Consider the following 27,090-nt stretch of genomic DNA (forward strand, 5'->3'; position numbering starts at 1 on the left):
ATGCATTCTCTGAAAATAAGGCAGGCCCTCTCTGTCCTAGATTAAGGCAGGCTCTCTCTGGGCTAGATTAGAGGAAATGTTATGTCCAGATTCAGGAAGTTTGGCACACTCGTATTTCTGTCTAGTAGGGGAAGGAAAGTACTGATAGAGAGTGTGTGAGTAAGTTAACAAGCATCCTGTCTTATGCCAGTGAGAATTTCAAGCCTGTCTCTTAAATCTTGAGCCAGACCTCATTGGTTAACCCCAGCCAGCTCCCTTATTAAGAAAACTTGTTATATATGCAAACTTCAGTTCGTAAGAGTCCGTTAAACTGGAAATAGGATGACCACTGCCATCTTGAGCCTGTGCACTGTAGCTTACAGCATTCTCAGAACTTTCACACACACCCCTGAACAGCCTGGTGGGACAGGAGTTGTTATTGGTAAGTGAGCCAGAAGCCAAAGTTAATGCAGCAAGAAATGCTGGTCATGAGATTTCACTGGTTCCATCCACAGGAAACCTAAAGTTCTCGCTCAGTCACAAAGCTCCCACACAGTGGTCCAACCTTCAACTCAAGACTGTGAAGATCATGGATCCAACTCTGGACTTCACCATTTTATTATCACATCTGTGGGAGGGGGAGTGTGAGAGCATCCTGTCATGTCGTGGGTAGCTTGGGCAGTGTTTACATTGTGGCTGCGTACAAGGGATTCCCAAAATGTGGGTCACCAACTATCTGCATCAGAATCACTTGGGGTATCATTCGGGATATCCTGACTCTGTGATCCTGGAGGCGGGCTTTGAATCTGCATGTGCAATGATATTCCAGGTGACGCTTGGGATTCTGCTGTCTGTGGAGCAAGGGGATAAATGTGCTCTCTGCATGTGAAGGGTCTGCCTTGTGTTAGTGCTTCAGCTCCGGGGCTGGGAAGGTGTGGAATGGGAAGGGTGTAATCTGTTCCTTCCATCTTCACCATTTTTGGGAGAGCCTTTTACAAGTCTCTATCTATTCCAGCTCATCTCGGATGGTGGGAGATGTGGAGATAGACAGCATTAGGAAAGTAGTTTGACTTCCTTATAATCCTACAGTTCTGCTCTGGGCATCTTACTATGGGGAGAAAGGTGATCCCTAGACCTGGTTCAGCTGCAGCTGACTGCCTGGTGCATAGACTTCTATTCTCCATGCAGAGTCATTTAACATTGACACAGGAATAGCAAACTACTATTGCAAGGTCAATTTTCCAGGAAAATTCTAAGGAAGAACATCTAAGAGCTGTTTTTGAACTCCAGTCTGTGGTTCCAAAGTGGTGGATGGCCATTGATTTCAAAGCAAACCCCATGTTCCTTCATAGGAAGTCTACTGTTTCAGTATTTTCTAAAGACTAGTATCTAACAAAATAGCATGCATTTACATTAAGATACCACCCAAGCACGCAGGGTTGAGTGACAGCCTTTTGTTGAATAACAATTCACAATTAAACAGATCAACTTAAATGTGTGTGGTTTGACTTCAGCGTGGTGCGCTAGGGAGAAGTGAAGGGCTGGATGAAAACTCTCTTGGGAACATCAATGTAGTTCCCATACTGTCCCTTTCTGTGACGATAAAAACGTTCTACATCTGTGGTGACTGAGCACTTGAAATGTGGCTAGTGCAACTGAGGCACTGAATATTTAATGACTCATACTTTTAATTAACTTAAATTTGAATTTGGATGATCATGTGAAGCCACAACAGCTCTGCTTAAGACATGGTGGAAAAGAATCAAAATGGCTTTTTCCTCTCTCCTTCTCTCCCTACCTCCCTCTTGCTTCCTGATTGCTCTGCCTCACCTTACCCTTTTTTCCTCCCACCTCCATGACTACTAGGTAAAATAAGAGTGCAACATACACACTAAGGAAGGTGTCTCCTGAAAAGCTATGGAAAAAGCAATTGCTGTGTGAGGAATTAATTTGAGGATCGGGGAGCTGGATGCGGCTAGGGTGCAAGCCATGCACCTAAGTTCCTTTAGAAGTGACTGTCCCTCAGAATATTCTGGTTTCCTCTGGGCGCTGGACTCTCAATGAGTGGGGACATGGAAGGGAGAACAAAATGTCTTTATTCCAGTCTTGTCCAGCAGTAGTGCTCAAAAAGTATTTCTTGATTAAATAAAGGATGTCAAACGTGACCATCACTATGCCAACCTCAGGGGACTGTCAGCCCAGCCCTGCCTTATCTACTTCTCAGGGATATTAGAGACATTAAACAAGCAACACCTGAACTGGGTTACTAAGAAGTTGTTTACTGGCAGAAATAAGTATTGTGATGGAAGGTACTGTAGAGTATTGAATAATTAAACACATTGAAAGAAACTTGGCCTATGACGCCTAGCCATAGCAGGCTGAATAGTTATAATATTACTAGAAAACATAATGCAACTTATAATGGGGCAGAATCTGTGATTCTAGGCAGTGCAAGTATCACTAAAATATATTTTTTTCTTCTTTAGACACTGGAGGTGGTATTAATATTCCAGGTGTATTATCAAGTTTACCGAGTTTAGGTTTTTCATTGCCTACTTGGGGCAAAGTTGGACTTGGACTAGCAGGCACCATGCTTCTGACGCCGACGTGTACTCTTACAATACGCTGCTGCTGCTGCCGCCGTCGTTGTTGTGGCTGCAACTGCTGCTGCCGTTGTTGTTTCTGCTGTAGAAGAAAAAGAGGTAATTTTTTTGTTCATTTACATTTGTACATACTTCTGAACTTTTGGTACAAGCAGTTGAAGTTAATGAACTCATCAGCTCTTTCAAAAGATAGATTAACTACAATATCACTTTACCTCTATTAGAAACTGTGGTTGCACACTGTTGGTGGGATGTAAATTGTTACAGCCTTTATGGAAACAGTATGGAGGTTCCCCCAAAAATTAAAATAGAGCTATCCTATAATCCAGCAATCCCATTCCTGGGTCTATATCCAAAAGAAATGACATCTTCATATTGAAGAGATATCTGCATTTCCACGTTCATTACATCACTCTTCACAATAGCAAAGATATGGAATCAACCTATGTACATCAATAGATGAATGGATAAAGAAAATGTGGTATATAGACACAATGGAACACTAGACAGCCTTCAAAAAGAAGAAAATCTTGTCCTTTGCTACACCCTGGAGAGACCTAAAGGATATTATGCTAAGTGAAATAAGCCAGACACAGAAAGGCAAATATTGTATGATCTCTATTATAGGTGGAATCTAAAAAAGCCAAGCTCATGGAAACAGGAGGTAGAATGGTGGGTGTTACCAGGGAGTGGGAATGGGGGTTGGGGAGATGTTGGTCGAAGGGTACAAAGTTTCAATTAGACAGGAAAGATAAATTCTGTAGATCTACTGTACAGCATGATGACTGTAATTAATTATCATGTATTGTGTACTTGAAAATTGCTAAGAGAACAGGTCTTAGATATTCTCACCACAAAATAGCGATGAATATGTGAGATGATGGTTATATGAATTAGCTTGATTTAATCATTTCACAATATGTACATAGCTCAAAATATCACAGCGTACACTGTAAATACACATAATTTTTATTTGTCTGTGTGTTTTAATAAAGCTCAGACAATAACAATAAAATAAAAACCACAATGAAAGACACATTGGCTTTAAGAGTCCTTGAAAGAAACGGTGGCAAATTCTTGGAGAAGAAAAGGACTTTCTTAAGGAAGGAAGCTGTTTCTTTGGGGCCTGATGCAACCCCTTAGGAAGACCAAGATCTTCATGCTCTTGAAAAAGTGATTGAAGCAGTGCCTTTCTCACCAAAGACACTGATTATTGGATTTTTGTGCTTATTTGTAAGGATATATAGCTATTATAATGTCATTTAGATGCTATGGTTTTTTAGAATCATATCTACATATCTGAACATATTAAATGGTTGTTTCCTATTCTGAAGAATTTTAAATCTCCCTTTGTAGGTGAATGTTAATAGAGTGGTAGAAAGAAAAAATAAGATCTTCTGTTAATAAAAAATAGTATCAATACAATTAATAAAAATAATTACGTGTTTCTTTAGAATGAAATTCTCTGAGATACTCCCACATCGTATGAAAGCAGTAGCCTTGCTTGCGGTTGGGATCAATGGTGAGGTGGGCACATAAACACTAGGTGGGCTTGTCGTAGCATTAGGCAGTTTGTGGCTTCAGAAGCCTACGGATGCTTTATCATGAGAATGCTCCAGGACTTTCCATGTGCTGAATGTGTGTTTGTCCTTACCTTTCTTCCTTTTGTTAAAAACTTCATGTACTCCTGTTTGAACATTTTGTACAGTTAAATTATTTTTCTAAAGATCGGAGTTTTGATGTTAGCTTGCATGTCAGTTGAACTACATTTTAAGTTTTATTAACACTAACTGCCACTCAATGAACACTTAGTGTGTGTGTGCCAGGCACTGTGCTAACTCTTTTACATGGAGTATCTCACTAAAATGCATGGACTAGCCTTAACTAAACTAAAGGTCTAGTCTTAGTTCCTCGATGAATTTGGTTTGTGATTGGGCAATTCACTCTGTAGTATAACTTAAAAAAATTTCAGACACGTGAATATTTTCTTATATTCTCTTCCTTACATGAAGGGCAGTACACTATAGATATTCTTTTGCATTTTACTTTTTTTCCCTTACAGTATATCCTGGAAATCAATCCATGTCAGTTCATTGAGATTTCCTTCCTTTCTTATTACAGCTATATGGTTATCCATTGTGTAGATGTACCATGGTTTATTCAACCATTCTCCAATATATAAGCATTTAGGTCATTTCTGGTATTTTGCAATTACAAGCAATGTTGCAATGAATAATGTTGTGTATGTTCATATTTATGGAGGTGTAGCTTTTGGGTAAATTCTCAGAAGTAGGATTGCTAGGTCAAAAGCTACGTGTGTATGTAGTTTTGTCACGGATTGCCAAATTTCCCTCCAGCAAGGTTGTACAATTTGCATGCTTACCAGCAACACATGAGAGTTCCCGTTTCCCCACAGCCTGGCCAACAGGGTGTCATCATACTGTTTAGTTTATGCCAACCTGGAAAGTAAGTAAATAAGAAATGGTATCTCAGCATAGTTTTGATTCTATCTTATTATAAGTGAGGTTGAACTACTGTTCCATCTTTTTGTATGATTGAGAACAATTTTTATATGTTTTTATAACTTGTCATTCTATATCTTTTGCTCATTATTTTCTCTCTCAGATTTTTGGGCTTTTTACTCCTTCTAATTTTAAGAATTCTTTTGATGTTAGGACCGATGGCCCCCTTTATCTGCGTTTTGAGTCATAGGAAGTATTTCCTTATATGGAAGTTTTTTTCTGGTGCTTATATCTTATATGGTTTCATTTATTTGTCTTTCTAGGTTTTATTCATTCTTCTGTGTGATATGTTGTATGCATCTAATTTTATCTTCTTCCAAATAACTAAGCAGTTGTCCCGGCAGCATTGACTGAAATCTCTGTCTTTGGCCTGGTGGTTTGAGATGCCACCTTTATCAAACACTGATTTCCATATGCACTTAGGTCTCTTTCTGGGCTCTCTATTCTGTTCCATTGGTCCGTTTGCCTATTCATGCACTTACACTGTACTGTTTTAATTATAGAAGTTTTATAGTATGTTTTAATGTCTCCTTGGGTGAGTCTGCCTTGTAGCTTTCCGTTTTAGTGTTCTTCTGGCTAGTTTTGCATGTTTATTGTTAAAACTTGTTTATTTTAAAAAATTGTGGCAAAATCTACATAAAATTTTCCATTTTAACCATTTTTGAGTGTACAGTTCAGTAGCATTAAATACATTTACACTTTTATGCAACCATCACTACCATCCATCTACAGATCTAGGTTCATCTTGCAAAATAAACACTGTACCTATCAAACAATAACTCCCTATTCCCGCTTCCCCCCAGTCCCTGGCAACCACGATTCTACTTTCTATCAATTTGACTACTCTAAGTATCTTATATAAGTGGAATCATGCAGTATTTGTCTTTTTAAAAATGGCATACAGAGTGATATTTTGATATGTGTGTACAATGTATAATGATCAAATCAGGGTAATTAGCTTATCCATCATCTCAAACATTTATCATTTCTTTGTGTGGTGAACATTTAAAAATCTTCTCTTCCAGACTTTTGAAAACACAGCACCTTATAGTTAACCATATTCACTTTACAGTGCTGCAGAACACTGAAACTTTTCCTCTTATCTAGCCGTAACTTTGTGTTCATTAACCAAGCTGTCCCTAGCTTCCCCCGACTACCTCCCCTTCCCAGCCTCTGATCCCCACAATTATAATCTCTGCTTCAATGTGCTCAATTTTTTTTTTAGCTCCTAGCATATGAGTGAGAACATGTGGTATTTATCTTTCTGTGCCTGACTTATTTCACTTAACACAATGCCCTCCAGGCTCATCCATGTGCTGTGGATTTCATTCTGTTTTACGGTGGAATAGTATTCCATTGCGTACACGTGCCACATTTTCTTTATCCACTCATCTATTAATAGATATTTAGATTGATTTCATATCTTAGCTATTGTGAATAGTGCTGCAATAAATGTGGGGGTGCAGATATCTCTTTGACATACTGATTTCAATTCTTTGAGATACCCAGATTGCCTGATTGTATGATAGCTCTATTTTTAGTTTTTTTGAAAAACCTTCATACTGTTTTCCATAATGACTGTACTAATTTACATTCCCACCAATAGAGTATGAGAGTTTCCATTTCTGTTCATTCTCACCAGCATTTTTATTTTTTGTCTTTTTGATAATAGCCATTCTAAGTAGGGTGAGATGATATCTCATTGTGGTTTTGATTTGCATTTCCCTGAGAATTAGTGATGTTGAATGTTTTTTCATACATTTGTTGACCATTTACATGTCTAAGAAGACATCTAAATTGAGAAATGTCTGTTCAGACCATTAACTCATTTTAACATTGCATTGTTTTTTTGCTGTCGAGATGTTTGAGTTCCTTATATAGTCTGGATATTAATCCCCTGTTGGATGAATAGTTTGCAAATATTTCCTCCCATTCTGTAGGTTATAATTTTGCTGTTGATTGTTTCTTTTGCTGTGCAGAAGCTTTTCAGTTTAATATAGTCCCATTTGTCTATTTTTATTTTTGTTGCCTGTGATTTTGAAGACTTAGCCATAAAATCTTTGTCTAGGCCAATGTCCTGAAGGATTTATCCTATGTTTTCTTCTAGTAGTTTTATGGTTTGGTGTCTTATATTTAATTCTTTAAGTTTGAGTTTATTTTGTGTCCACTTTGAGTTTATTTTGTATATGGTAAGAGATAGGGGCCTAATTTCATTCTTTTGTATATGGATATCCAGTTTTCTCAGCACCGTGTATTGAAGAGGCAGCCTTTCCCCAGTGTATGTTCTTGGCACCTTTGCCAAAAATCAGTTAGCTGTAAATACGTGGATTTATTTCTGGGTTCTCAGTATTGTTCCATCTGTGATATACCTTTATTCTCTGGGAAGCAGAAATTGAAAGGCAGTAAACTCCTGTTGGACCTAAATTAGAAGGGAAATTGTTTTTACCTGGGAATTATTCCATATGCCCCAGATGGGTTACTCAAATGGAAGACACTGGATTTTAAAGGAAAACCACTAAATGACTTAGATTTTAATAGAGATGTGACTACAGATTGTTCAGTACCTTCAGAACATTATTTCTAACATGAGCTATGTGGAGTAGTTGGAGAAATTCTGGTTATTTGTACATCCTGGTTCCCTTCAGCTTTTGTCTGTTCTATACTCATCTCATAAGAAGATTAACCGATGGTTGTTGGCCCACACAGGATATGCAGAAGGTGATTTTTAGTTTCTTCATCTACAGAATGGGAATAAATACTATCCTATAGATTGGTAGTAATAATTAAATAAGTATATTAAAAGTTTCTGTGATCCATCCTAGATTTAATCTTTTCTTTAACTTTGAGATGAAAAGCCTTTATAAGAGTGAACTGTCACCCCACCCCTGCCCACCCCATTCACAGTAAGTCCAGATAAGGCTACAAACAGGTCTGCCACAGCCTACTTACAATGCCCACCTTGCCCCACCAGGTGTGATTCATAGTGGAAATTATGCTATACCTTTACATAAGTGTGAAAGATGAGTAAAGGTCTGGATTTCTCTATGATGATTATTTCAATGCTTAAAAAACATTAAACATCAAAAATTTTCAGAAAGTATTTTCTGGTTCTCTGCTGCTATCCAGAGATTTCTCAGTAAGCCGACGGATTAACTGACCACATAGGAATGGCTGAGCTTCTGCTCAGCCTGGCCTGGGGGCTTTGGGATGGCAGCATTCTAGAGGGTCCCCAGGCTCCTTTCTTTTTTTTTTTTTCCTTTAACTTATAAGATTATTTATTTAGCTATCAGAAATACAACATTGTTCCCTTTTCTTTTTTTTAAATTATACTTTAAGTTTTAGGGTACATGTGCACAATGTGCAGGTTTGTTACATATATATATACATGTGCCATGTTGGTGTGCTGCACCCATTAACTCGTCATTTAATGTTAGGTATATCTCCTAATGCTATCTCTCCCCCCTCCCCCAACCCCACAAAACCCTAGAAGAAAACCTAGGCAATACCATTCAGGACATAGGCATGGGCAAGGACTTTATGTCTAAAACACCAAAAACAATGGCAGCACCATTTATTAAATAGGGAATCCTTTCCCCATTGCTTGTTTTTGTCAGGTTTGTCAAAGATCAGATAGTTGTAGATATGCGGTGTTATTTCTGAGGGCTCTGTTCTGTTCCATTGACCTATATCTCTGTTTTGGTACCAGTACCATGCTGTTTTGGTTACTGTAGCCTTGTAGTATAGTTTGAAGTCAGGTAGTGTGATGCCTCCACCTTTGTTCTTTTGGCTTAGGATTGATTTGGCGATGTGGGCTCTTTTTTGGTTCCATATGAACTTTAAAGTAGTTTTTTCCAATTCAGTGAAGAAAGTCATTGGTAGCTTGATGGGGATGGCATTGAATCTGTAAATTACCTTGGGCAGTATGGCCATTTTCATGATATTGATTCTTCCTACCCATGAGCATGGAATGTTCTTCCATTTGTTTGTATCCTCTTTTATTTCCTTGAGCAGTGGTTTGTAGTTCTCCTTGAAGAGGTCCTTCACATCCCTTGTAAGCTGGATTCCTAGGTATTTTATTCTCTTTGAAGCAATTGTGAATGGGAGTTCACTCATGATTTGGCTCTCTGTTTGTCTGTTGTTGGTGTATAAGAATGCTTGGAAAACTGGCTAGCCATATATAGAAAGCTGAAACTGGATCCCTTCCTTACACCTTACACAAAAATCAATTCAAGATGGATTAAAGACTTAAACGTTAGACCTAAAACCATAAAAACCCTAGAAGAAAACCTAGGCATTACCATTCAGAACATAGGCATGGGCAAGGACTTCATGTCTAAAACACCAAAAGCAATGGCAACAAAAGCCAAAATTGACAAATGGGATCTAATTAAACTAAAGAGCTTCTGCACAGCAAAAGAAACTACCATCAGAGTGAACAGGCAACCTACAAAATGGGAGAAAATTTTTGCAACCTGCTCATCTGACAAAGGGCTAATATCCAGAATCTACAATGAACTCAAACAAATTTACAAGAAAAAAACAAACAACCCTATCAAAAAGTGGGCAAAGGACATGAACAGACACTTCTCAAAAGAAGACATTTATGCAGCCAAAAAACACATGAAAAAATGCTCACCATCACTGGCCATCAGAGAAATGCAAATCAAAACCACAATGAGATACCATCTCACACCAGTTAGAATGGCAATCATTAAAAAGTCAGGAAACAACAGGTGCTGGAGAGGATGTGGAGAAATAGGAACACTTTTACACTGTTGGTGGGACTGTAAACTAGTTCAACCATTGTGGAAGTCGGTGTGGCGATTCCTCAGGGATCTAGAACTAGAAATACCATTTGACCCAGCCATCCCATTACTGGGTATATACCCAAAGGACTATAAATCATGCTGCTATAAAGACACATGCACACGTATGTTTATTGTGGCATTATTCACAATAGCAAAGACTTGGAACCAACCCACATGTCCAACAACGATAGACTGGATTAAGAAAATGTGGCACATATTCACCATGGAATACTATGCAGCCATAAAAAATGGTGAGTTCATGTCCTTTGTAGGGACATGGATGAAATTGGAAATCATCATTCTCAGTAAACTATCGCAAGAACAAAAAACCAAACACTGTGTATTCTCACTCATAGGTGGGAACTGAACAATGAGAACACATGGATACAGAAAGGGGAACATCATACTCTGGGGACTGTTGTGGGGTAGGGGGAAGGGGGAGGGATAGCACTGGGAGATATACCTATTGCTAGATGGTGAGTTAGTGGGTGTAGCGCACCAGCATGTCACATGTATACATATGTAACTAACCTGCACATTGTGCACATGTACCCGAAAACTTAAAGTATTAAAAAAAAAATGCAATGGCAACAAAAGCCAAAATTGACAAATGGGATCTAATTAAGATCCTTTCTTACAAACTGTGCTTACGCTGGTGGCGTTGGAGGCATTCCCCTGTTGCTGGAGGGCATTCATCTCTTACCTGATAGTCTCTTTTCTGCAATCCAGATAGAATTGTTTTAGTTTGGGATGTAAATTGGCAGGTGTTATTAGAATTGAAAATACCTGAGAACGTTATCTAAAAACTAAGGAAAATGAGTATTTAAAAAATCTTAATCAAGCTTGATATATAGAAGGCCTGGACAGTAAAGCTCGGTTGTAAAGATCACAGGCTTTTGGGACAAAAGGTTGGGGACTTGATCTGTGGCTTTTTACTCCCCACCTTCAAATCCTAGATTCCTTTTAATCAGTCTATGGATCCACTGACTAAAAACATTAGCAATTTAATGACAGTGTTTTTTTTTTTTTTTTTTTGGTGGGGTGGGGGCACAACTGTATCAATTGATACCATTGGTACATATTGATTGAAAATGTATCTTTGAATTAAAGAAATATGGTAATATTAATATAATAGTGTCTAGTCTGTTAAAAATATAATAACAGTAACACCTACTTTTGAGTTATTATAACAGTTAAATGAGCTAGTACTTTGCACAGAGCCCGTTTGGTGCTGGCACATGGTAAAAATTGAATGAAAAGCAGCAGTGATTGATAACACAGAACATCTCTTCTTGGTATTATGGAGTCTGTATAGTCTCACTCATCAAATTCAATAGTCACAAAGTAATAAGTAAATACCCCTGGGTGACTGAAATATAGTAAGTACTATACAGTCTGTATTTCAGGTACCTAGGAATTATTTATTTTTCTAATAGTTAACAGTGAATTCTACTTTCCTATGCTGGGAAGTCATTTGATAATTTGGTATGGGAAAACTTAATAATGCTCCTTGGGTCACAAATACTAATGTTGGGTCTGTTAAAATAAGGGAGTGTATAAAAATTAATGAGACTCGATTTTTAGAATAAGTATCCCGATTTTTCCAATGTAATTTTGTTCTTTTTTGCAGGATTTCGTATTCAATTTCAAAAGTAAGTTTGAAACCACATCTATTTTCTGAAAACAAAACAAAAAAAATTGAACAACAACAATAATAACAACAATACGTACACACAACTGCGGGATTTTTGGATTTATGTTATCCAGAATTAAGTACCAGAGGTAGACAATGCTGAAAAACACGTATGCCGATCACAAACTCATAGGGCAACATGAACTGTGGGATGAAACAGATGGGTTGCCACTGCCTACCTTTGACTTGCTCTGGTTCCCTTAGGGAAATGGAGATTTTCTTAGTGTCTGGCATTTGCAGCTCTTTCCACAAGAGGACACTGTGCACCATGACTATCATCCCGCCTGCTGTGGGCGGAGGCCAGGGCCACCGGCAGAGGTCCTGCTGGAATTTCTGGGATAGTGGAGAGCAGTGAGCCAAGCCGGATGCCTGCAAGTCACGTGAAACTGTCCAGGCAGACAAATTAGGCAGTGTTCGGTGCTCATTCAGCCGTGGGGAGCGGACAGGACGGAAAAATTCCTTTCATTCCCAGGCTGCCCAGAAGTAGCTGCAAGCACTTTTAAGGTAACTGTGTCAAGGACTTACAATAAGTAGCCAGTAACCCTTTTAAATGTCTGCAATGTTAACATAGCCATATGTGCACCAAGGGGAGGGTTTTTTAGACAGACGTTGTTTGTTGTGGGTAATATAACAACACATGTAGTTATCAGTATTTTATTAGAATATTTACATTTTTAAGTGCTGAGATTCTAAAATACCTTTTGGCTACATTCTGTGAATGAATATGGACAATCACCATGTGGCAAAGGTTATCCCTTCTCCCTCTGACCCCTGGCAATTGTGAAGTTTGGAGAGAGGACACCACCAAGCAGCAGTCTGAAAATATTTCTCCTTTGAGGCCTGACTTAGGGCAAGGGAAGAGGAAGAAAAATAGACCCTGATAATTATTCTGGCATTTCTCTTGATTGCTACTACCAGCGGAATGGAAGCCTGGACTCTCGGTTCACCATTGTTGACTGTGCCAACATCTTCCATTTCTGTTCTCTGGGGTCTTAGGTGATTTGAAAGCACAGTAAAGTGATCAATAGCTACTCAGGATAATGGGTAGAGGATAACAACAACTATAGAATATGACACTGGGAGCATGAGAAAAGCTAGTATATCTTGAGTGCCTGATGTACATGCCAGGTACTCACTGTTGCATGCTTTGTAGAATTTTTTGTCTGAATGTGAACTGGACGGGCCCACCTCAGGGCTTGGGCACCTTTGTCTCCGTGCAGCCCTTGAACTTAGGTGAGACTGCATTAAGCTCCAGAGGGATAATGGGGGTTGCCCACTGAATAATCCAACCCCACTTGCTTTCCCCTTTCACGATGTCCATGGTGCTCACTCCAGCTGCTTGAGGACTTCTTTTGCATTAAAATAATTAAAATTATATGTATATAGTTGTATGTTTATTATGGAAAAAAATCAATGCATGTTTATTTTTAGAAAAAATAAATATAAAGATAGGCACAAGAAATAGTTTAAAAAAATCACCCACACTTCTATAGTTCCAAAGTAATTATTGTTAACTAACTATGTATGTACCTATGTACTCAAATGTTCATGTATATACCCATAGATATGCACACAAAGCATTTTGTGAAATTTGGATTATAGTAACCATTAATTCATAGCTTGCTCTTTTCACTTTGCACATTCTGAAGATTATTTCTGTTAACAAATACTTGCCCACAGCATTTTTGTAGTATTTGTTTGCTAGTTTTAGATAGATACTTTTAAGTACAGAAAAGTGCACACGTTACAGGTGTGTAGCTTGATCAGGTTTCACAAAAAGCACAAATGCCTGGGCTTGATGGCAGAAATTCACAGCTAGAACATCCTCAGCATCCCCAAAGCCCCCTAGACCCCGGTCAAATTGCTGCCTACCCCTCCTCCCCAAAGGTGACATTCTTCTGACATCTTTCCCACATCCCCAGAGATTAGGTGCATGCATCAATGGCGTCATTTTGTGTATACTCATTTATGTCTGCCTTCTTGAGCCTCTCACTGTGAGACTGATCCATACCGTGGCACGTGAGTGTCAGTGGCTCATTATTATGTAATATTACATTCTGGGCACATATGCAATTTATTTTTACCTTTTGCTTTAAATGGGTGTTTGAATAGTTTTCAGGTTGGGACCATTACAAACACTACTGCTCTGGCCAGGCGTGGTGGCTCACTCCTGTAGTCCCAGCGCTTTGGGAGGCCAAAGCAGTGGATCCCTTGAGCCCAGGAGTTTGAGACCAGCATGGACAACATGGAAAAACCCCATCTCCACAAAAAGTACAAAATTAGCTGGGCATGTTGGTGCTTTCCTGTAGTCCCAGATACTCAGGAGGCTGACTTGGGAGGATCCTTTGAGCCCAGGAGGCAGAAGTTACAGTGAGCCGAGATCACACCACTGCACTCCAACCTGGGTGACAGAGTGAGACCTTGTCACCAAGAAACAACAACAACAACGTCAAAAAACAACTACTCTGAGTACTATTGTAGGAGTCTTTTGGTGAACATAAGTACTCATTTCTGTTTGGTTCTGTGGGGAAATACAGCTGATTCTCTTTATCTGCAGGTTCCACATCCTCTGATTCAACCAACAATGGATCAAAAATATTTGAAAAAATATACAACAGTAAAAAGTAATACAAAATAAAGAAGCAGTACAGTATAACAACTATTTGCATAGCATTTACATTGTATTAGGTATTATAAATAATCTGGGCATAATTTAAAATATATGGGAGGATGTGTGTATGTTATATGCATATGCAAATCCTACACCATTTTATATCAGAGACTTGAGCATTTGCAAATTTTGGTATCTGCAGGGGTCCTGGAATCAATCTCTAACAAATACCAAGGGAGACTGTATCTAGTCCTAAAAGCTGGGCCAGAAGGTAGCGTATCTTCAGCTTTAGACAGTGCCACATTTTTCCAAAGAAGGTGTACAGGCTTACACTCCCGCTAGCAGTGTGTGAGAGCTCTCATATGTAATAATTTTGACAGATGCCATGGAATTCCATTTTAGAGAACCATCATCATTTATTTTACTAGTCCTCCCTGATTGGGCACTCGGTTGTTTGCAGTTTGCTTTTATAAATAGCTCATGAATCAACATTCTTTCAAGTACATATTTATACATATCCTTGATTGTTTCCCTAGCATACATCCTTAGAGGTCAAGTGTGACTATTTAAAATTCTTTGGCGTTCCATTGCCAGACTTCCTTCCAGCCTCCAAACCCTAGGAGGCTGCACCAACTTTTGCTTTATTTCAGGAGTTGGCACATTTTTTCCATAAAAGGCCCTGTAGTAAATAGTTTTAGTTTTGCCAGCCATATGGTCTCTGTCATGAGGACTCAACTCTGCTGTTATAACATGAGTATGGCTACATGTTTAGGTAGCCATAGACAATATGTGAGCTGATAGATGTAACCGTGTTCCAATGAAACTTTATTTACAAAAACAAGGAGTGGGTCAGATTTGGCCTGTGGGTCATAGCTTGCTGACTCTTGTTTTATTTGGTGAATGGTTTCTGAGAGTTGAGTAACAACTGGGGAGTAGAGTCCATGGACCAGGATAAACTTTCATCTCTCCCCATAATGGGAATGTGTGAGTAGGCAGGCGTGCATACCTGCAACGCAGCGGCAAAGCTATGGACTTCCTGTGTTAAGTTCAATGTGTAAGCATACTCTTGAGAGTAACCACGTGAACTACGTAGGTATCCATTGCCAATTAACATTTGGCAATGTTAATGCCAACAATTAACATGAACATAAAATGGTCTAATTGTAGGAAATCTGAAAAAGAGAAGACAAACAAAGAAACTGAGACAGAAAGTGGAAATGAAAACTCCGGCTACAATTCAGATGAACAAAAGACCACAGGTGAGTAGACAAGAGGGGTGGTGAAAAGACCTGGGAAAGAGAGAGCTGGAAGAAGGGCTGGCTTGCTAGATACCAGCTGCACAGGGAGGCTAACTTGGCAATGGTGGTTATTATTTTTTGGATAAATTTTAGAAGAAGAAATTCTAGAACTTGGAATACTCTAGGAGTAGGTTAACAGTAAAAATCCACCTATTTGTCTAATGCTTAAAATAAAGTGAGGAAGAACCCTGAGAGCTTTAAAAAACTTTGTTTTTTTCCATCACACACTGGGGCCTGCCATAGGGTGGGGGGAAGGGGGAAGGATAGCATTAGGAGATATACCTAATGTAAATGACAAGTTAACGGGTGCAGCACACCAACAAGGCACATGTATACATATGTAACAAACATGCACGTTGTGCACATGTACCCTAGAACTTAAAGTATAATAAAAAAAATTGTTTTTTCCCCATGCTTTCTTTTTTGTTTAAAGCCCTCTACATTAAAACATGTGGGGAGGTATTTTAATACATTGGGGGTAACTTCCTCCCAATTTCAAGTAGAGTCAAGTAAGAGATCTCTTCCCCTTGAATGTAACAGGGAGTTGGGAATGCTGGAAAACTAGACCTACTTTTGGAGAGTCTTGCTGTAGTATCTCATTTTCTTGCTATGAGACAATACAGAGTGATAATGCAGTGAGGGCATCTCTAAGACAACATCACCAGGAAGCAGCAGCAGTTGAGTATTGAAGGCCGATGAGAGGGGAAGGCTGAACCCACTCCTCCTCTGCAGGATGAACAGGACACCTGCCCTCACAGGCTGCTGGGAACACCAAATTCCATGGGAAGGTTTTCAGCCAATCAGTCCTTGCTGAGGGGCCTAAACACCTGCGTTTTCCACAAAAATTGGAGCTCTATTTTCAGCAGCCCCATTTTTTTTGATTTTACCATGGCTGCCTCCCATGTGTATTCCAGATTGCATCTTTCAGATTGAAAAAAATTCCAGAGAGCATGGACTGTTTCCTTTGATAATCTGACCACAGCTTCTTGCAGGTTCCTGTGAGTGAATATTTATTCATTAGTATTTTGAGCAATTGACTATCTTGACAAAAATCATGGCCCAAATCAAACATCTCTATCTCTTTTATCTCCATTTGTCTGGCATTTATTTTCCTTGATCAGCTGTTGAAGCTTTGGATCATTTAGTGTCTGGGTGAAACTAATGTGTCGAGAAAGAAATGGATTTTGAGTTAGTTTTCCATATTTTTATTTCTTTAAAGAAATAACATTCTAAAGAGATGGGATCTCAAGGGAATTTAAAAAAAGTGTTCATGGTTAAGGATTATGCCAGCGGTACTACATAAAAGCAAATGTGTTTCTTTATAAATCAGAATTGTTAGAGCACACAGCTTGGTTTTTGCCACTTAATGACTCTAAAATTGTTCTTCTGTTGCAGACACCGCTTCTCTCCCTCCCAAATCCTGTGAATCCAGTGATCCTGAACAAAGAAACAGTAGCTGTGGCCCTCCTCACCAGGTAGTTTAGACCATTTTCCCCCTTTTTGGACTTTTTTGGCTATTTAAAAATTCTTACCTTGTTGTGGGTGATTATAAAATGGTGCGCGTTGTGTATTCATGATGGTGGCATGTTGCCTTTCCTCCCCTCCATATCAGCTGGTCAGCATGGAGAGATGGGGCTGAGACGTGGACTGTTTCTTGCCCTCAGTAGCAGTTGCTCTAAGATCAAGGCTGGTTCTGGGTAACAGCTCTGGGTTCACATTTTGGGAGGATGCGACTTGATTTGGGACGTATCCGCCTGAGTTGGCATAAGAGTGAGCAGCATATATAATGTGCCATTTGTTCTCTTTGAGCCATATTCTCCCAGGACTCAAGTCCATTCTGCTCTCCTGGTTACCCGCTCCCACGTGCTCATCTGTACTTGGACCCTTGGGGCCTTTGGACTCATGGAAGGATGCACTGGGTTTGAGGATCAGGACAGAGAAAATGTAGTTTGCTCTGCATGCAAGTTCTATGCTGATAAGCTTGAGGGCTGAAAAAATCCTGTCGGGGTTAGAATTTTAGAGGAGAGAGGAGGAGTCCTTGATGATTAAGGATTATGGCCAGAACGGCTAAGAGGCTGGAGTTGCCATTAACGTAGATAAGGAATGTTATGGGTGGAGCAGTTTAGGGGGAAAGATTAGACATCTAATTGGAGCTTGTAGATTCTGAAGGTCTCTGTTAGATGTCCACATGGAGATGCTGAAGGTGTAGTTAAATTCACCAGTCTGCAGTTCCAGGGAGAGGTACTAGCTGTAGATACTGGTTGGTTGGTTGGCAATGTTTCGATGGGAGCTGTCTTTTCACAGGATGGTTCACTTAAGTAAACGGTCAACTGGCAGCACTGAGAACATAGTATGTTAATTTGCTGATATAGAGTCAGCATTGGTTATCATACATGAATGAATGAGAGTTCATTTTCTATCCCGAATCATAAATTAGGTAGAATATATATAACCAACACCCTTTTCTGACCTGTACAAATGCAACTTCAGACAAGAAGTATTTCAATGCGATTCTGTGATTGTGTCCCCAATAAGTGTAGATGTTATCTTCTTTTAGCTTTTGGAAAAGGTAAACTTGCAGGCTGGGTTTTGGATAGCACACTGGGCCAGATGGGTTGGGTTTGTTCTGCTAGGAGCTGCTTTACCTGAGGCGACGGTGCCCAGCAGGTGCCTGTGTGGCCCCTGATCATTCTTTCTTGGCACAGGTATTTACCTGAGTTTCCAGGGAGCTCTGGGCAATAATATTCCTCCCTGCAATTGGGATTCAGCTCAGTAACCTACATCTTGCCAGTGATGTGTGTTTTTCAGGCCTGTAGGGGGGAAGGGAGTGCTGATTGATGCTCAGTCATGTATTGGGAAAACCTAAGTGATACTATTAATATTAGTGTCAACACAGGTAGCCAGACAACAAGACATATGAGGGGCCTGGGGCATAAAGGCAACTGTGCCTGAGTAACAAATCGTTAGCTCCTAGTACAAGTTCCAGTGACTTTCCTCAGGCCGGGTGTCAGGAAAATGGAGAGGTAATGTTTTTTCCATCAGGGCCGCTCTCTTTGGCACATACATCTTTTGATGCATTTAATTTGGAGCTGGAAGGGACGATGATGCAACAGGTTTCCTTTAGAAGGACCAGTCTCTGAGTGAAAGGTGGCAGTGGAAGGGAGTGATTGTTGGGCTGTGGGGTGGCTGGCTGAGGGGCTCGCTCCCACCCCAGCTCCAAGCACGGACAGCCAATAGCACATTTAAGCCAACCATGATTTCCACAGCCCTTCCGTGGTTATCTTTGTCTATCAAGTGTGTTTCTATCAGACAAGCCAAAGTGTTCAGGTCTGGCGTTGTGGGGAGGGTATAAGCTGGGAGGAGATTCAGAATAGGGTCATGCCACATAATTCTCTTCAAAATACATCTAGTATGAATGAGGAGGAAGGGGAATGTGAGGTGCATTTGGATACCTGAGTGGAGAATGACGTTTTGGAGCTCGGAGTGGATGCTTCTTGATGTTTGTAGTGTTCTTTTTGAATATACACAGGGAGAGAAACTTAAGAGTTTTCTGCTACTGAAACATGTACCCAGCTAAATAATCAATCGGTGGAAAAAGAACAGTGACCCTCGAGGTGCTGAGCCCTGGGGACTGGTAACGTAGTCTCGTGTTTCTTATTTCCTGAAGGGTTTGTCGTCTTCTAGGGGAGCCGGGCACCTCATCAGAGAGCACCAAGGCCCTTAAGAAACAAATCAGGACTCTAGGAAGTTGAATTATCTTTGTCTGGGCTAGAAACTAATGAGGGTTATTAAATAACTGGATCTTTCTACTCATCATGGGGGGACTTTAGGACAAAGTCCTAAAGAAGAGGTCTATCTTTGATTATGACCAAAGAAGGACTTTGCCGTCATGGGCCCAGGCACGGCCTCCACGTTGCCCATTTGGAGAGCCTGGATGCAGGATGTACCATGGGCCGTGTTTCCTGGGAAGCACTTAGAGGAGGAATGAGCAAAATGGGCCACAGTGGAAAGGCTGGGCCTGGGGACACAGCCGTTCCCTTCCATTTCCTTGGTCCAGAGAAGACATAGACCTTGTTGTGGTCAACTGGCCACTTGAGAGCTGCCAGAATAGTGAAGCTACAGCTTGTAGAAGCAGTCAGGGTGACGCTGGTACAGAGGTTCCTTTTAAGAACTTCCCCAGACCAGGCCCCGTAGCCCTGCAGCCCTGCCAGGCCTATGTCACCAGGTTCGTGCTGTGTGGGGTGATGAGGACCTCTGAATTCCGAATGCCTTGGTCCAAGGTGTGAAAACAATGCAGTCGTGCCTTCTTTTCTCAAAACTTTCTCCATTCTGCAATAAGCCTTAGTTCCTTATAGAGCCCAGGAGAGACAGCTGAGAGCTATTCAGAGTCCCGTCTCAGTTTTCCTTTCATCCTCCTCTCCGCATGCCTCAGTATGACTCCAATTTGTCAGAGCCTCCTGAGCTGCTGCCGCATGTTTTGCGCACACAGGCCTCCCAGGCCCAGAGCTGGGGCCCAGCAGGGCTCCTGCCCGAGAAGCTGGCTTGTTAGAGTTCAGGGTTGTTGACTACAGATTGCACTATTTTGCAGAAACCCCGCATGAAGCTCAGGTCCTGAAAAGCCTGTAGATTAGACTGAAAGATCCCAAGCTGTGAGCCAGCCTGAAGCAAACACTTTTCCGATCGTGGTTGCTGAAGAGCTAGTTGGGTCAGAAAAATGGCCTATCCATGGAGATGCGGCAGGCACAACAGCAACTAAAGCTCCTGCTTTGTCTTAATAGATCGCAGAACAGGATAGTTTTGGTTTTGTGAACAGGACGGCAACTGCTGACCACATACACTCGCTCTCTGCTCATGCTGCATCCTCCTCTGCTGAAACTGGTGATCTGTTAACACTCGGCAATTTCAGGAGGACTTAACTAATGGATGACTGTTGACTACACACAGGCTAGTCCAGCATTTCTAGGTCCTCAATAAACAGTTACTCATTAAAGTGGAGAATACCTTCCATGCCCAGCATTATGCTGTCACAAGCAAGGTACTATAAGGTGTGTGCATGTGCAGATAGACAAAGCTCCTTTGCTTTTTTTTTTTTTTTTTTGAGATGGAGTTTTGCTCTGTCACCCAAGCTAGAGTGCAGTGGTGTGATCTTGGCTCACCGCAACCTCTGCCTCCCAGGTTCAAGCGATTCTCCTGCCCCAGCCTCCTGAGTAGCTGGGATTATAGGCGTCTGCCACCATGCCCAGCTAATTTTTGTATTTTTAGTAGAGACAGCATTTCACCATGTTGGCCAGGCTGGGCTCGAACTCCTGACCTCAGGTGACCTGCCCACCTCAGCCTCCCAAAGTGCTGGTATTACAGGCGTGAGACAGCTTGCCCGGCCTTTAAAAATTTTTTTTGAGACATGGTCTTGCTTTGTTGCCCAGGCTGGATTGCAGTGGCACGATCATAGCTCACTGTAACCTCGTACTCCTGGGCTCAAGGGATCCTCCTGCCTCAGCCTTCCGGAGAGCTAGGACTACGGGCACTTGCTGCCATGCCTAGCTAATTTTAAACATTTTTTTTTGTAGGAATGGGGGTCTCACTATTTGCCCAGGCTGTTCTTAAACTCTTGGCCTGAAGCGATTCTCCCACATGGGCCTCCCAAAGCATTGGGATTATAAGCATGAGCCACTGCACCTGACCCCTACTTCCTTTGCTGTTAATCCCAATCAGTTATGACAAAAATATGATTAGATCACTATAGATGAATATACAACCTAAAAATAACATCACGTTTTGGGTCATTTAGAAAAGTTAAATAATTTCATATCAAACTGCCTTTCCACGCCTTTGTGATCAGCGGCACTTTGTTTTCTTCAGGGGCCCATTGCTTAAATATGCCCCCAGGACGGGGAAATTTGATGTGCCAGGGTTGGCCCACAGGTCACTGATGAGGCCCTTGGGAAGTTCAGATTTATGGTCTTCACCTCTAGACATCAGGACTCAGAGGGCTGAGGAGGTGTTTAAGCAGCTCTGCTTTTTAGGAGAACTCAATGTGGCTAGGCTTAAGGGTTATTGGTTACCTTATAGCAAGAGGGGAATCAGGAGTTTTGGAAAGGGAAGAGTGGCAGGTCCCCAAGCACCAATCTGCCTCCTCCATAACTTCACCCTGCACGATGGGTACTCAGCAATTCTGCTTTGCCCAGCATCCTGAGGCCTTCATAATGGCCTGTGCTTGCCCACCTGGAGTGGGTTCTACTGGGGTTGGTAGTGCCATGCTCTTTCTCCCTCTGCCGGGAGTCAGCTGTATTTCCGCAAGTAGAGGAGTGTCTGGACACTGAATCCGGAGTCTGGGAAGGCACCCAGCTCAGGGCGGTGTATGGCGTTAGGAGGAGCAGCAGGTTTCCAGGTTACTTGTGCCCCCATCTTCAATGTCACAACTCTCAATCTCTCTTCCCTGAGTTGTACACATCTGTGTCTACATCTCAAGGCTGCCGTGGGTCTCTGAATACGTCATCTTTGTCATGAATCACCCAGCTCAATTTTAATAACATCCAACAGTTAGTAAAACAGGAAACTAGAACTTTAATATTTTAGGAAATGGCAGAATTTGCTGCTGCACCAGCCTCCCATAACTCCTGCCCCTTTGGCATCCTTTCAGTTAAGGTCCAGCATGCCAAAGGCACACACTGCCACGGAGATGAGCAAGACAAGATGCAGTGGTGAAACCTTTTTTTCAAACCGTTAGTTATCCCCTGATGCTTTCAGTGCTGGGAATCCTTTGAAAATTTCAGAAAAGTGGGGGCATGTCTCAGGAGCAGTGTCATGGGGGACAGGCTGGGGCTGGAGTTTTGACCACCAAAGGCCAGACACTGTGGCCAGGAGCTACAGGCACAATGGCTGACTTAGGCCAGGTCCTCAGGGGGACGCTGGGTTGTAGACAATGGGAAGAGGCACCAGTTCCTAGACCTCTTGGTCCCCAGGCTGCCTGGAGCTCCCCCTTTTGCTCATCTCCACCTCTAAGCACCCTCTCCTGCCAATTTCTTCCCTGAACATGAGACTTCCTGCTCAAGAGATGGGGCAGTCCTTGTTCTTGCCACCACCTGGCAGAAATGGTGGATGTATTTCCGGAATTCTCTATTCCGGTTTTCCTAAAGAATGCTTGCTGAACACGGAGGTGCACCCAGCGCCTATAAATACCGCTGCCTTGGTACCCTGCTGGCGTAGCAGCAGCTCTCAGTACAGCCCTGTGCCAGGAACACACTGGGTTCTTGTTAAAATGCACACTCTTGGGCCTCCGCCAGGCTTGCTGGATCAGAATGTCTGGGAGATAGGGCCAAAGAATCAGTATTTTTATCATTCTCCAGGTGATCTGCTTTGAGGAATTTTTTTTTTTTTGTCCCAGTGTGAAAACTCCACAGACATGTATAGCATTGTTTCTAAGGGAGGGTGCTCTCTGATTTCTAGAAGTCTTCCTACAACTGTGCATTTAGAATTACTTGTACCTCGTGTCCCTGCTCCACCGGCCTTGCTGCAAAGCACAGAGAAGAGTTTGAGATGCTCACGGTGGTGCCATGATGAATGCCAAGTGAAAGGTCTTGACACCAAAGACTCCACTGTCCACCTGGCATCCTACCAGGGACACTCTTAATTAACCCTTCCATATTTTAGATGGGTCCTAAAGCACATTGCATTCAACGTAAATGAAAAAATAGAAACCTAGACTGTAGAGATCTCAATCATGGATTAAATTGTAAGAAGGGTCAGAAGGAAAAAAGAGATTCATTTTCAAAACTGTCATATACAATATGACAATTTTCTTCTCTGATTATTTCTCTGATGACTGAATCTACAGTTAGAATATGTAGTACTGACATGGTTTTCTAGACAAGAGTTTCCCTGTTGGTGAAACAGAATGAATTTGGGTGCAACTGCAGCTGAAACACATTAGGGTAAAAGTAATAAGTAAAATTAGAAATTCCTACTAAAATAACCAATTACTGGGAAAGGCATGCTTTTTTATTTCAATATGAAGCCAGGGGATTTGCAAATGTTTTTTATTTTGGCGAATATTTAAAACAAAGAATCCTCCTTTTCCTCTCTTTGTCCTGTGCCTTAACTCACTGTCAGTGCATTTTCCTGGCTGTTTTAGGAAATTCTCTGTCTCTGTCATTTTCAGAAGATGGGCATATAAACAACTTGAGACCTGGATCAAGCCTTCCCCACAAATCACCCCCTCATTGAGACAAACAGAAATACATACTTGATAAATTTAGAAAACAGCGATGTTTGCACAACCCAGCAGTGAAAACAAAAGCAAACGACAGTAGGAATCTCTAGCATATTAGCAGCAGAAGGCACATGTCTTAAAGCACTGCTGACATAGTTCCATCCGCTGTCCAGTTTTCCCTGTGTTATTGGGAGTCAACAAATTAAGAGCGTGAGCCAGAGTAATTCTATCCTCAAGACTTGCTAGCATTCCATCACATTGTGAATAATTTATCATGCCCAGTTACATTATTTAAGATGTTAAGTGCAGCTATTGTGCCCTGGAACCTGAGCTGCCATTCTCAGGACTGGCAGGAAAAAAGTGTTGCACACATTTTAATAAGGCAATATTATGAGACAGGCATTGGCCACTCTGGAGGATTAAATGGTTTGTTTGGGATTACATTTCTGAATGAGAACAGGGAAGACTATGTTTCTCCCTGATAGGGAAAAGAGACAGGTGGGTGATCTATCTGGAGTCAGTTCTTCAATTTTGTCCCCCTGTTCTAGAAACAATGCACGCTCTTTAAGAAGTTTAGAAATATTTTATATTTTCATAAAAAATCTAGCCAGTAAAGCAAGAACTTCCTTAGGAAAATTGAAACACAAAACAAAACAATGAGTCGTGGTAATTTGCCTTAGTCAAAACAAATACTGATTCTTGGAATTGGATTGCCCTTTAGGGCCTGAACTTGGAAAACTTCTATATTGTGTGTTACCAGAAATAATGCAAGAAAGGAAGAGCTTATTTTAACATTTTTGTTCCTCTCCGTACCTTAATTTTATCTTAACAGATGAGTGAAGCTCTCTTTTCAAGTTTGCATTTTACAGTGATCTCAACCCATTAAATTGACTTTTTTCCTCCTCTGTTGCCAGCGGGCTGATCAACGTCCACCCAGGCCAGCAAGTCATCCACAGGCTTCTTTTAATCTGGCCAGTCCTGAGAAGGTCAGTAATACAACTGTAGTATAGCAAAGCCTTCCCCAAGCTCCACTGAGCACTTGGCTGACAATTCAAAACACGGCGATGGCATCCTTCCTTTCCATCCTAAGACTGGCCTGCAGCTTTGCCAACATTACCTGAAGAGGAGATGTCGGAGTCATCAGAACTGATACTTGACAGTGAGAGAAGGAATCGATTTTCCCAGAGTTCAAAGTAGAATGTGACTTTTAAGAGGTTTCATGGTTTTTGTGAATTCCATGAAGTTACTAAGTAAAAGCTGCAAATTCATCATAATTTTTCTCAACATTCAACACTCCTACTTGTTAATCCAACAAATGGTAGATAAAAGTCTGTATTCTACCATGCCTTTCAAAAGTTTTTATTATCTGAAAGCATATGAAGATGATATTTATGTATATTTAATATGTAGGGGTATTATTACATATTATCAGTGAAATACGAGTATAAAAATTAGGGTCAACCAGAAATCTGCAATTGACTGTCAAAACTGAGCTCAGTTAAAGTAAGATTCAATTCTAACATGGATGTGCACGTTCCTAAATATCTTATGATTGAATATTTACATGAAGGCATTCATTTTTATCTGCCCCTTTATCAGACCTATTTGCATCTCCTCAAATGAATTAGATGTGGCCTATGCTTTGCAGAGGATGGACCTCACCTACTCCGCACACCGTGAAAAAACTGGAAATGGGCATTGTAGTCTTTAATTAATAAAAACACCAAAAATGTGTATTGCCTTTCTTAACTCTTCACTATTCAGTTGGTCATTTAAAGAATCATAGTATTCGGGAATCAAGCCTTTTCCGAGAAGGAAAACAAGAGCCTTCTGCAAAAATCCATCACATCTTCACAATTATCTTTGCTGACTGTACATTCACTTCATTTAAAGTTAACATGAATGTTGTTATGAAGAATAAATTGCTGCCTTTCCCCAGTATTTTTCTTTTTCCATGTAGATACAGTCAGTGAATTTAACTGCCCATTCCACCCCTTCATATTTAACCTAGGGGCAAGACTGTGATTTGACCGTACTCTGAACTGGTTGGTGCAGATTTCTATGCTGGTTATAATTAGCAACTGCTTTGAGTCCCTCAAGCTCAACCATGCTATTGCTAAAGCAGAATTTGACTTTTAAAATATGTCAGGATTTTAGTGAATTCCTTACGGATACTTAGTAATAGATGCAAATTTGTCATGGTGTTTCTAATCACTCACTCCTGCTTGCTAATCCAACAAATGGTAGAGAAGTCTTACACTACCATGATGTATAAAATACTTTTATAATCTTAAATCACATTCAGCCCTACCCTGGACCGTCCTATAAACCAGCAACTAACTGAAGGGGTGTATTAATCTGTTCTCACACTGCTAACAAAAACACACCTCAGACTGAATAATTTTATAAAGAAAAAGAGGTTTAATGGACTCATAGTTTCATATGGCTGAGGAGGTCTCACAATTATTGTGAAAGGCGGAGGAGGAGCAAAGGTACATCTTACATGGAGGCAGGCAAGAGGGAACTGCCCTTTACAAAACCATCAGCTCTCATGAGACTTATTCACTATCATGAGAACAGCCCAGGAAAAACCCACCCCTATAATTCAATTACCTCCCACCATGTCCCTCCCACAACGTGTGGGGATTATGGAAGCTACAATTCACGATGAGATTTGGGCGGGGACACAGCCAAACCATATCAAAGGGTATTTCCTGGTACCATTTGGAGCCAGGCATGTGTTTTGATTGGCTGATGCTCATACTGTATCCATTCTGATTGGTCAGTGCCCATACAATATCTATTCTAATTGGGCAGTGTTCATGCCTTACTGGTTGTCATCTATTTTGAATATCATCTCTGCTTAGAGGATCCTGAAAAAAAAAAAAAAGGTAATCTCTCCTAGGACCATGTCCCTAACGTGAGAAAATTGGCTGGCTAGATTTTAGGGAGTAGAACTGAAATGCAAAATTTCAAAAACCCATAAATATTGCTATATCATATTCCCAAGAGTCTTTTCGAGGGAAACAATTGCCAATTCAACTGGATAAAAATGAGACTCATTTATTATACTAATTTTTTTATTCCCTGCCAATGTGGTTCTGTCTTTCCACTACCGTCCTTGAATGGCTACAAGGAGAAGAGAAAGACAAGAAGGTTCTTGAATCTCTTTAGGCAGAGCTAAATGGGTGAATGCCATACTCTTCACTTAATAGTTTACTCTCCTTAAACAACCACAGAATTCAGATCCTAAGATAAGGCAAATGCCATGTTATTTATGCCTTTTGTAACTTTTACAGCACCTGATATACTGTAAATGTTCAGTAAATATTGAAATCAAACAGGTCAATATTAAGAAAGCCTATAT

At 40.8% G+C, this 27,090-nt stretch overlaps 1 protein-coding gene and 1 long non-coding RNA gene across 3 annotated transcripts in view, besides 1 other annotated feature; one reads left to right on the forward strand and one right to left on the reverse strand.

Moving 5' to 3' along the window:
* Positions 1-25,457, forward strand: part of IGSF5 (immunoglobulin superfamily member 5) — a 90,311-nt gene extending 64,854 nt beyond the window's left edge. For both annotated transcript variants that reach the window (XM_047440699.1, NM_001080444.2), the window contains 5 exons: positions 2,466-2,681; positions 11,543-11,564; positions 15,384-15,475; positions 16,910-16,989; positions 24,638-25,457. In XM_047440699.1, coding sequence (XP_047296655.1) covers positions 2,466-2,681; positions 11,543-11,564; positions 15,384-15,475; positions 16,910-16,989; positions 24,638-24,733 — 506 coding nt within the window. In that variant the 3' untranslated portion in view covers positions 24,734-25,457. The remainder of the gene's footprint in view (positions 1-2,465; positions 2,682-11,542; positions 11,565-15,383; positions 15,476-16,909; positions 16,990-24,637) is intronic.
* Positions 1,997-3,196: an enhancer, noted in NCBI's record as "CDK7 strongly-dependent group 2 enhancer chr21:41150548-41151747 (GRCh37/hg19 assembly coordinates)". NCBI's record gives its function as "activates an origin of replication core promoter dependent on BRD2, BRD4, P300/CBP, MED14 and CDK7 cofactors, with strong dependence on CDK7, by STARR-seq in HCT116 cells {active_cell/tissue: HCT116}" and the evidence as "EXISTENCE:reporter gene assay evidence [ECO:0000049][PMID:35650434]".
* On the reverse strand, positions 2,580-11,865 carry LOC107985500 (uncharacterized). The gene is made up of 3 exons (XR_001755057.1): positions 11,785-11,865; positions 4,966-5,041; positions 2,580-2,664 (listed from the first exon to the last, which is right to left on the reverse strand). It is a non-coding gene; the product is annotated as an uncharacterized LOC107985500 (long non-coding RNA).
* Positions 25,458-27,090: the final 1,633 nt, after the last annotated feature.

The sequence above is a fragment of the Homo sapiens genome, chromosome 21, assembly GCF_000001405.40.
Source record: "Homo sapiens chromosome 21, GRCh38.p14 Primary Assembly".
Lineage (NCBI taxonomy): Eukaryota > Metazoa > Chordata > Mammalia > Primates > Hominidae > Homo > Homo sapiens.